Source organism: Homo sapiens, chromosome 8 (assembly GCF_000001405.40).
Source record: "Homo sapiens chromosome 8, GRCh38.p14 Primary Assembly".
NCBI lineage: Eukaryota > Metazoa > Chordata > Mammalia > Primates > Hominidae > Homo > Homo sapiens.
Genome location: NC_000008.11, coordinates 68,058,224 through 68,073,274, shown reverse-complemented (window position 1 = coordinate 68,073,274; position 15,051 = coordinate 68,058,224). Strand labels below are relative to the sequence as shown.

At 35.2% G+C, this 15,051-nt stretch overlaps 1 protein-coding gene across 4 annotated transcripts in view, besides 1 other annotated feature; it reads right to left on the bottom strand.

Moving 5' to 3' along the window:
* Nucleotides 1–15,051, bottom strand: part of PREX2 (phosphatidylinositol-3,4,5-trisphosphate dependent Rac exchange factor 2) — a 284,987-nt gene that overhangs the window by 163,758 nt on the left and 106,178 nt on the right. For all 4 annotated transcript variants that reach the window (NM_024870.4, XM_047422268.1, NM_025170.6 and 1 more), the window contains exons 11-14: nt 12,496–12,596; nt 4,139–4,242; nt 3,391–3,440; nt 705–780 (exon numbers count right to left, since the gene is read on the bottom strand). In NM_024870.4, coding sequence (NP_079146.2) covers nt 705–780; nt 3,391–3,440; nt 4,139–4,242; nt 12,496–12,596 — 331 coding nt within the window. The remainder of the gene's footprint in view (nt 1–704; nt 781–3,390; nt 3,441–4,138; nt 4,243–12,495; nt 12,597–15,051) is intronic.
* Nucleotides 13,755–13,955: a silencer, noted in NCBI's record as "peak7060 fragment used in MPRA reporter construct". NCBI's record gives its function as "represses an SCP1 promoter by STARR-seq MPRAs in K562 erythroleukemia cells {active_cell/tissue: K562}" and the evidence as "EXISTENCE:reporter gene assay evidence [ECO:0000049][PMID:32103011]".

Genomic DNA, 15,051 nt, shown 5'->3' with positions numbered 1-15,051 from the left:
TTTCTTCATCTTTTCTTTAATCAGTGAAACACATTTTATCATTTACTAGTTGATCTAGTATGATAAAACATTTAAATATTTGAATACCAATACTTAAACTTTTGAATATTGGAATAATTTATGGTTGAATGTCTCTTATGATGGAAAGGATGCCCTAATTTTTTTTACTTATAAGCGAATGACATTTTCTCAATTCTAGCAGTCAGCATCTAAATCTTGAGAAGCAGGTCAACAATAACAACAATAAATTCCTTTCTTTTTTAAAATGGACACAGGCAGACATTAAAGCTCATTATCAAAACACAATTATTTTCTAAAAGGGAAAAAGGCACAGGGAGATTAGAATAACTTGCTAGCATTAATAAACAGATACTTTAAAACAAAGTGTAAAAAACATAAAAATATTTTAGTAAATGAGCATAGCTATTCTTCAGATTCTCAAATTAGTGTTTTTTGATGGATCATCTGATATTTTAAAAATAGGAACATCTTCCTTTTGAGAAACAGGATAACACAAAAGTGAAGTTTGAGGACTCTAAAATTGATCATCTAGGTTCAAATCCTAACTCTGCTTCCTATTAGTTGTATGTACTTCTTTTTTTAAATGCCTGCTACAGATGAAAAAGAATAAAGGTCCTAATTCACACACTCAGAGTTTAAAGCAGCAGCAAGTGAAACTCAGCAACTTCTATTTGTCTATTTACCTGTGCAATTAACCAGTCTATCAGTTTGTTGGCCATGACCACAGATTTGTAGGTCCTTAAATGGTAATCTTTATCTCTATAAAGGAAAAAATAAAAACAAACAAACAAAAAACAAAAATTAAGCAAGAGGGTAGGTAAGCACAAGAAAATATTTTCATTTAGTATCAATATGCAACAGAGAAGTTTACCACTGTAACCTGAGTTAGTTGCCCAAATTACATGCAAATAAGAGAAGTTTATTATGCATGTAAAACACCTGAAAAATCCTCCACCAGCTTATACCAAGGGAAGAGACTCACAATGTTACCAAAACAGGACATCTCTTCTTTCACATTGTCTTATATCCAAATAGATTATTACTGCTATATTAGCTGGAAATATAGTAAGTCCACACTTAACATTGTGGATAGGTTCTTGGAAACTGCGACTTTAAGTGAAATGAAATACTGGATGCTGTTGGAACTTAACTCTTATTTATGTCAATTAGCCTATGGCAAAATTGGTTTCATTATATGTCATTTCATTTAAAGTTGCAGGTTCCAGGAACCTATTGATGACATTAAGTGAGAACTTACTGTACATCGTATTAATAAAATAATAAAATAGAATTTCTTCTCTTTAAATCACAATAGATTATACTAAAAATCTCAAAATCTGTAGAGTAAAGAAATGCCTTTTATTCCTGCTCCTGAATGCTCCAGGAAGGCTGGATTTGCACTACAGTATTATTCTCACAGCTCTGCCCTAGTGGAAAACAAGCAGGTCTGTCCTGAAGTAGACACACTAAGAACCTGTTATTCTTTTTGCCTGATTAGATCATGGACATAGTGATACTACATCCCCAGAGAACCAAGAGGATCAACTGGCTCTCCACCTCAGACTCTCCGTTCAGTAGATTTCCCAGAACTGAGAAACCATTCAAAGTTCTGTTGGATACCAACCAAATTTCATGATCAGAACTGAATACCCAAGGGCAGAAACCTATAATTCATTTATTTTCCAAACCTGGATCATAAAAAAATGAAAAAGTGGCAGTCTTTATAAAATGTCAAAAATTCTAAACTGCAAAAGACTTGAAGTGACTAATAATTACTAGCTATATTCATTGTTCTTTAAATCTATCTCCATGTTTCTGACACCTCATCACCCATTTCATCTTGTTTTCCATAAGCATCGTAAGAAGAAAAAGCGTAGTCTATTACAGACCATATGCAAGTCTACGGCTCTTCATGCTAAGTAACTTTTCTTTTTATAAGCTGAGTTCACACATATTAAAAGCCTGACTATCATACATTCCTTCTGTTTTATGGTTTTTTCCCATAAATTCTCTCTTGACAACTCAAAAACAATTGTCATTTTTAGCCAAAGAAAAATTCCTTATCAGCTCTTACAGATGCAGCTTTCTTGATAAGAAACCTCACATGACTAAAATATATTTTCAGAACACATTTTTGCCCATATAAAACCTACATATACACAGGTTACATGGTACATTAAACATTATTGTTTTATCTTAGTTTAGCAGAAAAGAATATTTAAGTACCCAATTGCTATTAAGTACTTAATATCAAGTTATCCAAAATATTTATGGGTATCTGTGAAAGAATTATGGCAGAGTCAACAAATATTTATTCTTTTTCATCTTTTTCCACTTTGTGAAGTCTACTTGTGAAAGTAAATAGGGCACTTTCAGGATTGTGGGTAAGATCCTGCTTTCTCCTCCAGGACCTGCAAACAGTGTGTTCTCTTTGCAGTATAAGTGGGCATTCCAATATACTTAGCAATATCTGCAATCTTTATTTTTTTAAGCTTCGCATTTTCTTGGAATTACAAACCAAAGTGAAAAATAGAAACACTAAACATTTGGATTTTATAGCCAAGATTGAAAAGCATTTTTATTTATTTTGAAAATGGTACAGGCATATTTTGTTGCGGACTATGATTTAGTCAGTAAATTCCAAATAATATCTGACCATTTCAAATTAGTTTAACATTCTATCAGTTAAGGTATATCAGTGTATATTGCAAAAGTACAATTTCCTGAAGATCTACTCTGTTAGTAATCATAATACAAACCTCAAAGTTTTCTATTGCCTTTCTAAAGAGATAAACTAAAAATTAATCCTGATTCCTCTTTTAAAACAAGTGTGCCTCTTCAGAAGGAAAAACATGATAAAGAATAAAATTATAAAATTATACTTATTAACTTCAAAATAATTCTTAATTTCCAAGTACAAAATCTTTTCTTGGGAAAAAAGATTATGAGAAGAAAAATTATAAAATAAAATACATATTCAATATTTGATTATACAATTTAATGTAGAAAGTTAATATACAAGTAATAATAATGGCAAATATGTAAACAGTATTTCCAAATCCTCTCCCAATCAATCAACTATAATTTATTAAATATTAACTGAAAGTGGATTATTTCAAGTGTATAATTTACTATGAACTAATGGCAAAATAATTTTAGAAATCATAATAAAGAGTGGAAAACACTATATAATTAGAATCTTAAGAAAATGTAGGGATATTTTACAATAAATTATTCCTTAAAATAATATTTTAAAGTAAAGTGAAAAAAAACAAAATAAGCCAACAAGTTCTGGCTGAATAATATTTACCTAAAACATAGTACAAATATTTCCATTTAAGTTTCCCAGAACTTAAAAACCAGACTCACCTTATCACTGGAGTAAAAAGGCTATGAAGACGACAATATAATCTTACACCCTACGTAAAATAGAGATATATCAAAAACAAGTGAGATTACCCAAGGGACATTTCAATGAAATTTTGAAGTAACAAATTAATTCACTGTCAATATTTTAGAATCATCACAAAATCTAAACCAATTTAAAAATTATTCAAATATCATGATATATCATAAAAATAATATGATTTAAATCATTAAAGAATAGGATTAAAATTGTGCTATAAATTCCTCATATATGACATACACACATACAAAGATTTTTCTAAATTATGTTTCTTAAAATATAAAATTTCTAACGTAAATTAAACAAAATATACCAATACAGTAATACATCTATAATACTTGTTCATCATATATCAACAAAGTATTGTCAACTGTACAAAATCTGACATTACATTTATTTTACACATTTGTATTTTTTTTAATTCAAGTATTTTGACAACATGTTGCTACATGTAAAAGGGTTTTCCATGGATATAACCTGGTGAGTGATGCAGCAGTACTACTACCATTTAGAATTAGGTAAGAGAATGAGAAAACAATTGAACGTTAGAATTCTTGAAATACCAAAAATAAATAAAGAGGCTTGCTTGTATATATAGTCGAAGAATTTTCTAAACTAGAAAAATCTTTTATGTTTCTCAACTACCTTTTATCTTCTGAAGAATGACAACATGCATTCTACTATTGGAGAGGTTGTGGGAGAGGTCGTTACCTTTGAAATCACGTCCTGCATCTCATTTCTTGGATAAAATGTTCCATCATCATAGCGAAATCTATATAACATCTGTTCTGGTTTGAATTGATGTTTATCAGTAACTAAGAACATAGAAATACTATATTAAAATAACGATACTCTAAAAGGGGGCAGATAAACAGCAAATAAATTTATTAAATACTTATTCCCAAATACTAAAACTTTTAGTTTTACAAAAGGCATTTGCTTTTCTAACACAGCAATACCAATTGAGTATTTTAACAGCAAGATTCATGATAATATTTTATTTAAAAATATTACAGTTTCCATATAACGATTTGAGAAATAAACTGACGTTTGCAACATTCAGCTAGCATAATATATGTATTTATATATGTACATGAGTATATAGTATGTATAAAGGTATACACAATGTGTACATTTATATAAATATATGATTTTGTGTTTTCTGTTTCTTCACAATGCTACAAAGCTGAGCAAAAAGTGCCCCTCAAAGAGCAGATACTCAAACTAGTGCATTGTGATTTGATTCTCGGTCTTGGAAATGAATTTTACCACGTATCTGTTTTATCACACTGTGATCAGGCCAAGACCACACATACACCAATCTTGACCACTTATCCTGTGTTTGGACCTCCAGAGTAGCTTAAATCAATTTAGTATCTAACTGATGCCAAAATTGTAACTGTTCTTACATTAAGAATTGCTTTTTTACATGTCAGTTAATTTTTTTTCTTATTGGAAAACAAGACCGTTCATTCTTTATTACCATCCTCAAGATAAGACTTTCATATTAATAAAGACTCCTATTCCCAGGACCTGATGCCTTCACTGATGAATTCTACCAAATATTTAAAGAAGAATTAATGCCAATCCTTCTCAGACTCTTCCAAAAATAAAAGATAAAGGAACACTTCCAAAACTTATTTTACAAGGCCAGATATGAATACTACAAGAAAAGAAAATTACAGACCAATATCACTGATGAACATGGATGCCAAAATCCTAAACAAAATACTACCAAATCAAGTTCAATATCACAATAAAATGATCATATGCCATGATCAAGTGGGATTTATCCTTGAGAACTAAGGGTGGTTCAACACATGCAAATGAAAAATTATGATGCATCACATTAACAGAATAAAAGACAAAAATCATACGATGATCTCAATAGAAGCAGAAAAAGCATTAGTCAAAATTCAACATCCTTTCATAATGAAAGCTCTCAACAAATTTGGCATAGACAAAATGCACCTCAACATAATAAAGATCATATATGACAAGCCCACAGCTAACATAATACTCAATGGTCAAAAGCTGAAAGCTTTTTCTCTAGAATAAGACAAAGATGCCTACTTTCTCTACTTCTGTTCAACATAGTACAAGAAGTCCTAACCAGAGCAATTAGGGGAGAAAAAGAAATAAAAGACATTCAATTGGAAAGAAGTAAAATTGTCTCTATTTGTAGATGGCATGAACTTATATATAGAAAACCATATAACTTCCACCAAAAACTAATTCAGTAAACTTGCAGGATACAAAGTCAACATTAAAAAAATCAGTAGTGTCTCCATATACTAACAATGCACTATGGAAAAAAGAAATGTTAAAAATGATCACATTTAAAATAGAATAAAAAAATAAGATGTAACACTTAGGAATAACACAAGAAGGTGAACGATCTGTACACTGAAAACTATAAACCATGAAAGAAATAATAAACTACAAACTATGAAAGAAATTAAAGAAAACACAAATAAATGGTAAGAAATCCCATGTTCATGGAAGGGAAGAATTAATATTGTTAAAATGTCCCTGCTACTCAAAGCTGTCTACAGATTCAATGTGATTTCTATCAAGATTCCAAAGGCATTTTTCACAGAAATAGAAAAAACAATCCTAAAATCTGTGTAGAAGCACAAAAGACCCACAATAGCCAAAGCAACCTTGAACAAAAGGAACAAAGCTGAAGGCATGACATTACTGACTTCAGACTCTACTACAAAGCCACACTGATAAAAACAGCATGGTACTGGACATATAGACCAATGGAACAGAATAGAGATCAGATCCCAGAAATAAATTCACAGATTTATGGTCATTGCTCTTCCACAAAGGTGCCAAGAACACACAATGGAGGAAGATAGTCTCTTCAATAAATGATGCTGGGAAAACTGGATATCTACATGCAAAATAATTAAATGGGACCCTTTATCTCACACCACATATAAAAATAAACTCAAGTAGACTAAAGATTTAAACATATGATGTAACACTATAAAACTACTGGAAGAAAAGATTAGGGAACAGCTACTTGACATTTGTCTTGGCAATAATTTTTGGAGAGGACCCCAAAAGTACGGGCAACAAAGGCAAAAATAGACAAATAAAAATAGACAAATGCAATTGCATCAAACTAAAAAGTGTATGCACAGCAACTGAAAGAATCAATAAAATTAAAAGACAATCTATGGAATAGGAAAAATATTTACAAACCATATATTCAGTAGGAGGCAAATATTCAAAACATATAAGAAATTAATTCAATGCAATACCAAAAATACAAATAACCCAATTAAAAATGGGTGAAGAACCTAAATAAATACTTCTCAAAAAAAGAAATAAAGATGGCCAACAGGCATATGAAAAGTTGTTCAACATCTCTAATCATCAGGGAAATGCAAATCGAAACTATAATCAGATATAATCTCACACCTCTTAGGATGGCTATTATCAAAAAGACAGAAGTGTTGGTGAGGATGTGGAGAAAAGGAAACCCTTGTACACTGTTGGTGGAGATGTAAATTCATATAGCCATTTTGGAAAACAGTATGAAAGTTCCTCAAAAAGCTAAAAATAGAACTACCATATGATCCAGCAATTTTACTTCTGGGTGTGTAACTCAAAGGAAATAAAATCAATATGTCAAAGAGATATCTGTACCCCCATGTTCACTGCAGCATTACTCACAATAGCAAGATAAGAAATCAGCCTAAGTTTCCATGGATGGATGAATGGATAGGTACAGAAAATATGATATAATGTATTCCATACTTGAAAATTGCTAAGAGAGTAGATCTTAAATGTTCTCACCACAAAAAAGTGATAACTATGTGAAGCGATTAATACACTAATTAGCTTGATTGTGGTGATCATTTCACAATTTACACATATTTCAAAACATGTTGTATACCATAAATATTTGTCAATTATACCTCCATAAAGCTGGAGGGAAGGGGAGGGAATCTCCTACTAAATCTCTACGCTTTCTCTTTTTCAGGCTAAGTTGTTTTATACACAGTCTAATAAAAAATGTCTGTTTTAGAAAGTAAAAACCTCAAAGTAAAAGTCAAAGAGTTTATATTTAAATATTTTCTTTACAGGGAATGCAACATTTGTAGAAGAGATAATTTGCTGCAAAGAGCTATATTTTTATGATTAGATGAAAGACTTTGACCTTTATTTTTTTGCTAGAAATGTTGAAAGAGGAAAGAAAGTTGTCAGAATTCTCATTAACTACATTTGATGCATCCAGAAGAAAGTCAAAAGACTTGTTAATACACATAAACACACACATACATATGTGAAGTTTCAGCTCTTTTACCCCAGCCTATTCAAACGTTCTACATGGCTTATGACCAAAAATTGTTCTTTTTAAAAAAAGATAGACAATACAGCTTTTTGGTATCTTTTCCCCAAGCCAAGTCATACGTAAAAAAGCCTGTATGAAAGAAATATAAAATCAAGAGAAATAACGTGAAACTCTACAACTTGTTTTAAGATGACAATTTTTTTCTCCTATGCAATCTACCTATTCCCATTTTTATACCTTAATAATCATTGAAATAGATTGTCTTGATATTCCAAAACTCAAGAAGTTGAGCCCAAATGTTTTTGCCACAATGAAACAAGTGGTAGTCTAACCTATTCGACAGGGAGAGCCTAGCTGTAAGGCAAATGCTTCTGCCTTTGATAATGAACCTTGGGTTAATCTGCAACTCTTAGCTGTTGCCTTAGAAAAACGCTGAACTGTTCTGCATTCAAATTTGCTCTCCCAATTTATCTAGCATGGAAAATGGGTGTATAAACTACAGTTCGGGTCCTCTAGTGAAGAAAGCTGCTTAATGCAATCTTTTAAATAACTGTGTGAGAGAACCAGGAACATAGTGCAAATGTTTAACAACTGGCTCTCTAGGTGGTGAAGGTAGGGGGTGTAGAGGAGAAGTTCTGATTTGTAGCATTTGCCCATTTCTGTTGTATAAATATTCCCACTCTGGCCAATTTCAAGTTTCCAACCTAAAGTCACTGAACACGGAGTTAAAGGTGCGGTGGCACTCATTACACAGTATTTCCACTATACACAAGCAATAGATACAAATAACCTCGACAGCATAGATAATAGTAAAACATTGTAAAATAATGAGAAGGTGACACATTTTAAGAATGTTTTACAGGTCCGGCATGGTGGCTCATGCCTGTAATCCCAGCACTTTGGGAGGTTGAGGTGGAAGGACTGCTTGAGCCCAGGAGTTCAAGACCAACCTGGTCAACATAACAAGACCTCATTTCTACAAATTAAAAAAAAAAAAAACAAATTAGCTGGGTATGGTGGCGTGCACCTGTGGTCCCAACTACTCACAAGGCTAAGGTAGGAGGATCGCTTGAGCCCAGGAGGTTGAAGCTACAGTGAGCCATGATCGCACCACTGGCTGGGTACTCTAGCCCGGGCAACAGAGCAAGACCCTGCCCCCCAACCCCCCAAAAGAGTGTTTTACCCTTTTTGCAACATAATTTATGCACTTACATGTTTATATAATTGAATTAATAATAATTGTGTTTAAAAACTAATCAGCCTACAAAATGTATTTAATTATCAGCTCTCAGGAGCTTGTATGAGCCAACTTCAGCACACCATGGGATATAATATTAATAAGATATGAGGTCTCTGAATTCTCACATAAGCATTCCTACTACAAAAAGTAGCACTAGACAACATGTATATTGTCAGCATACCACAGAGAAAGCATACGCTGCTTTCTCTCAACCTAGAGTTCCTCAACGCTAGAGTTCCTGCTATAGCAAGGCTTTGCTGATGGTGAAGTTCTCAATCATATTTGCAATGTCAATAATAGCAATAATAGCCAACTTCTTTTTTGCTTGCTCTGTTTAAAACAGATGGTTCATTCAACTTTATTTTAGGAATTCTATTTTCACCAAAATGCAGCTGGAACCTCATACTAATGATACTAGCACATTTGGCTCATACCTCTTCATTCTAATAGAATTATTCTATTAATGTGAAATTGCATAATATGTTCTCTCACCCCTAGTTTGTATGTCAACATGAACCAGCAACCTTTATTTCTTGGTAGTTTAAGTCTGTCTTTTTACGCTGTCCATCAAGAAACCCAGCTGCTCTCATACTTCCTTCTAGAAAGGCAGAAATACGCTAGGATAGGATGGGATAAGTCATTTTTGCAGGAAATATTGGGAAGAAAACCTAGCTGGTTTTCCACTAGTTAACACTAGCTACTGTAACAAACAAACCTCCCTAATATAGTGACTTGTGTTGTAGAAGCTAATTTTTCACTGAGGTAAAATCCAATCCGTGGCAGAGGATGAGTGATGGTGCTCTCCTCATGCAGGGTCTAGGGTCTGACAGAGGCTCAGCCATCCTTAATGCATGGCTCCCAGGGTCACCTTGTGTTTTGTGTTTTTTTAATAGCCTGTACACTTCCCTTGTGCACCACTTTTGTGTACATGTCCTTGGCTGCAACTCAGTTTCACAGCCTCCCCTTGACTGCAAGGAAAACTAAGAAATGCCATGTATGCACACCCACGAAAAACAAAAGCTAAACCAATTTGGTAAACAACTACTCAATTTCTGCCACTGAGGCACAGTTCCCTGGTCAATATAAGATCTATGCGATCCTATTAAAGACAGGGTAATTATTATATATGCTTGTTAGCATTTTATGATGTTAGTATATAATAGTCATAATGTTATTTTTACTTTTAAGTTTTTAAATGATGCTTTTAGCCTACCAGATGCTAAAAGCAGCCGTATAATGCTTTTAGATGTTTTAATGATGCTAATGAAACAAGCGCAAAATCATATACAATTTATAAGTATCATCTGTTCACTCAAAATATAATTATTCATTCATTCAGCAAATATTTATTGAGCACCTGTATGGGATGGGAATGCCAGGCATTTGCTATATAATAACAAGTGAGGCTCTTGTTTGGATGGTGCTTATATTTTTATTGGAGGCCAGGGAAGGGATAGGGAGATAAAGAGGTAATAAACAAAGACACAAGTAAAACAACATAATAATTTCAGAGTGATAAATACATGAAGAAAGATTTCAAAGTAAAAAAAAAAAATAGGACATTGGAATCACAGGACAGGATGGGCTTCTAAAAGTCAAAGGGTCATGGAAGACATGAGTAATGAATACAAAGATTTTTGTCTTTTCATTCACAGCTCTGTCTCTACCACTTAGAAAGGCTCCTGGCATGTATTAGGGATTAATAAATAACTGTTGAATGAGAAGAGCAAAAGCTAAGGTCCTAAATAGGAAGTCATCTTGGAGCGTTGAAGAAAGAGACAGATGGTCAGGGTGGCCACAGTGCAACAAGTTAGGTACAATGCGAGGTGTCAGGCTCTGAGAGGAAGTCAGGGGCCTTATCTCATCGGATGTTGTAGGTCATGGTAAGAAGTTTAGGGCATGTAATAGGTCTGAACTTTTCTTTAAGTTTGATTGTAAGCAATTAGATGGTTATAAACAGAAGGATGCTTTGATCATATCCCCGTTTTAAAAGGTCTCTTTAGCTGTGACCCGGAGAGTGTACTACAGGAGTGGAGAACAAAAGTGGAAGCAAAGGAGGAGATGACGGCGACTAGAAAAAAGGTAAGGATGCTGAAAGGGACAGAATTCATTGTTTAGGGACTTAATTTGGTGGTAGAGCTCACAGGGCTTGACGGCATGAGGGAGAGAAAGGAATTAAAGATGATTCCTAGCTGGGTGGATGGTGGTACCATCACGTAGGCAACACCCAGTGTGATAAGAAAAGATGGGAAATATCTGGTTTGTTTGCACAGTATCTAAGAAAGGAAATGAACATCAAAATACCATAGCCAAACATCCATATTTATTAATAATTCCCTGGCTTTTTCTCCTCCCCCACAATTTACCATAGAAATTCTTTAAACCTTTGTCCTGAGTCCCATTAACACTGCTTTCTTGGTTTTTGTCTGTCTGTTCATTGTCAGTGTTCCCAGGAGTCTAGTACTCCCTTGAAATGATTCCAAATGTGTTTCTCACCTTATTTCTATCCTGAGCTTCACCCCAAACTCTCAACCGCTTGCTGGCCACTCCCCACTGGCTGGCCTACACGGTCCACAGCAAAGCCTGCATCTTCTCTTTCAACCCTGATCCTCCTCCTGAATTAGCTATCTCAGTCATTCAGAGAAGAAGGCTCAGAATACTTTAATCTCTCTCTTCATTCTTCATCACCCACATCCAGAGAGTTATAAAATATGGTATTGTAGCTTTGCCAGCATCTCCCCATGGGTTTTTTCATGCCCACGGAGGCAGACCTGCTGAAGACCTTGTCCCGCCACTCCTGGGTGCAGCAGGGCCCCCTGAGGGGCCTAGTGCTCGCAGTCTTGAACCTCTCCACTTCAGGCTCCGTGCTGCTGCACCTCACAGCTGTGGACCTGAGTTCTGATCATGGCTCTGCTTAAAAGCATTCATCAGCTCCTGGCCCCCCTCGGAATAAGCCCACATGCCACAGCAGGAGACTTCATATGTTCTGGAATCCAGGCTCTGCCTGCCTTTTTGCCACACCTCCCCTCGCCAGTATGTTCATCCATGGACCCACGTGAGGCTCTGTGCCGGTGCCCAAAGAAGCCACCACAAACTCACCCGCCACCGTGCCGGAGTGCTGTTATTTCCTCCGGGTGGAATGCCCTTCTGCCCTGCGGTCCCTGGCAGAGTTCTATTCATTCTGCAATGCCCAGCATCACTTGTCATGTCCCGTCCTCCATGAAGCACTCCCAAATACTCTAATTACTATAGAACTAACCATCCCTTCCTCCACAATCCCACTTCTCTATTTTCTAACACTTGCCTGTATTGAAGCTCTTCATTTTAAGGTTAACAAATATAGCCCTATAAACCCACACTCCCTGAGACACTGTTCTACACTTATTAGGTACTGAAAATATTGTTAAAAACAACAAGCATCCTATAATGTGGGGAATTGTAAACTAAACTGATAAATGGGATTAAGATACATATGGCCAATAAATGCATTAAATAAGTAATTAATAATAAAGTAATTACCATGGTGAATGATTCCATTTTCTAATAATGCTTGTCCCAAGTGCACGCCTTCCTCAGGCCTGTGAATCTCTCCAATTTCCAACAGCCATGACACAAATTCGCTGCAAGAGAAAGTCAGTGAAAAAGCTAAACGGTTAATTTTTTCCCCAGCAAGTCTTTCTATACCATCCAGTCATGAAGCAATGATGAAAGGAATCTCAAAATATAAAGGAATATTTGCAACACATTTCAACAGATTATTTTTTCACATATGTAAGGCCTACAGCCATTTAAGTTGAACTCTATTCTAGAAAACCCATGTCTGTACATTCTGACATTACTAAACTATACTTAGTTTTAAACTATTCAACTTGTTGAGGCCTCTAATAAACACAAAGTGAAAATTTTAGAGTAGCTTTAATTAAAAGGTTACCATTAACATAAAGGCAAATGTGGGACTAAAGGATTGCAACAGATCCTAAAGATAGCTAAAGTCAGAACTGAATAGAGTAGTAATAACTTAATATAAAGAGCTAAACTGTCTTTAATGTGGTTCCCAGGCACAGAGAACCAGTGAGTTTAAAGATCCAGGAAGGAAGAACAAAACAAAACCACATGTACCATGTGGTAGGTAGGATTCTACAGAAATCTTCTCACTGCCCTCCCACCACACCAAGATTCCCTCCCCTTGGTTTTTCAATTAAATTCTAATCTAGGTATTGCTCTGAAGGGAGTTTTGCATATGTAATTAAAACTCCAAGTCAGTAGACTTTAAAATATGTAAATTATCCCAGTGGGCCTGATTCAGGGAGTGGAACCCTTTGAAGCAGAGTTTTCTCAGGCTAGTGGCATGACAGGAAGTCAGAGAAATTAAAAGCATTAGAAGGATTCAATGTGCAACTGCCAGCTCTGAAGATGGAGAGGACCTGGTACCAAGACATGCAGCCTGCAGAAGCTGAGAGCAACCCTTGGCTGACAGCAAGGAAACAAGGACTTCATTCTTGCAGCCTCAATGAGGAGCTGATTCCTGACAACCACCTGAATAAGCTTGGCACTGAACTTTTCCCCAGAGCCTCAATCTAAGAGCCCCGTCTGGCCAGCACCTTGATTTTGGGGTCGTGAAACCCTAAGCAGAGAACCCACTTGAGCTCTCCTGGACTTCTGACTGGTGTTGTTTTAAGCTGCTAAGTATATGTTCATTTGTTATACAGCAATAGAAAACTACTGTACACCAAAAGACATAGAAAAGTTCTACTACATTGTTTTGAAAATGTTAAATTACTTGGTAAATTCATTATTGTATCTCATCTGTCATCCATAAGGAATACTCCAGCACAGAACCATCCATCAGAACTGTCTACCACACACTGCTGTGGCTGTGAAGGCCACAGTGGATTATAGGTTACATCTGTCACCACTGCAGGGCAGCCCCAGGCATCATAGATAATAAGGATGATGTTTTGTATCACTTAGGAGAGCCTCAGCTATGTAGCGATTTAAAAAAAAAGGTCACGTGGTATCATTAAGAGAACACTAAATACAGAGACATTTTACAAATAAAAAATATTATATTGCTCATGTTTTAAAAGTCTAACATTTGAACTTTTATATAAACTATTGAATTTGTTGTAGACTAGTTTTCTTTTTTTGGCTAGAGAAACAAAGCTATGGACTGCATCAGGAAATTATTTCTTCATTAATTTCAAAAACAAAAGCAAGAAAAATGGCTAATGTCAAATAATTGAGGTTAAAATTCTAAAAATGGGTTGTCTAGACTACAAAAATACTTTAAGGCAGAAAAAGTTGTTAATTTTTTTTTATTCTTTTATTAAATGAGAACCATTCAAAACCATTCGTTTTCTATTGCTGCATAACAAATTCAGAAGAAAAATATAAGAAAAGGTGAAACAAAGTGTAGCAGTTAATATCATGTACTTTGCCATAAGACAACGGGGACTCAAATCCTGTTTCTGTTTCCACTACGTGCATGACCATGAGTTCATGAATTTAGCTCTTTAAACTCCAGCTTCTTCATCATTAACACAGAGATAATATTAAGAATGTCGGGCCGGGCAAAGTGGCTCATGCCTATAATCCCAGCATTTTGGGAGGCGGAGGCAGATGGATCATTTGAGGTCAGGAGTTGGAGACTAGCCTGGCCAATATGGTGAAACTCTGTCTCTACTAAAAATTTAAAAAATCAGCCGGGTGTGGTGGCATGCACCTGTAATCCCAGCCACTAGGGAGGCTGAGACAGGAGAATAACTTGAACCCGGGAGGCAGAGTTTGCAGTGAGCTGAGATCGTGCCACTGCACTCCAGCCTGGGCGACAGAGTGAGACTCCATCTCAAAAAAAAAAAAGAATGTCAATGTCATAGTGCAACCAAAGGATTAAATGAGATGACAGATGTCAGGAACTCAGCACGGGGCCTGGCACATAGTGAGATTTACTAACTCAGTGGTTGACAAGTGGGTTGAGATAGTTGTTATGTAACTAAGACATAATTCTCTAGTCTGATGGCACTAGATTCCTGAAAATGTCATATTACAATGAGGGAAAGAGCCAATTTAAACATT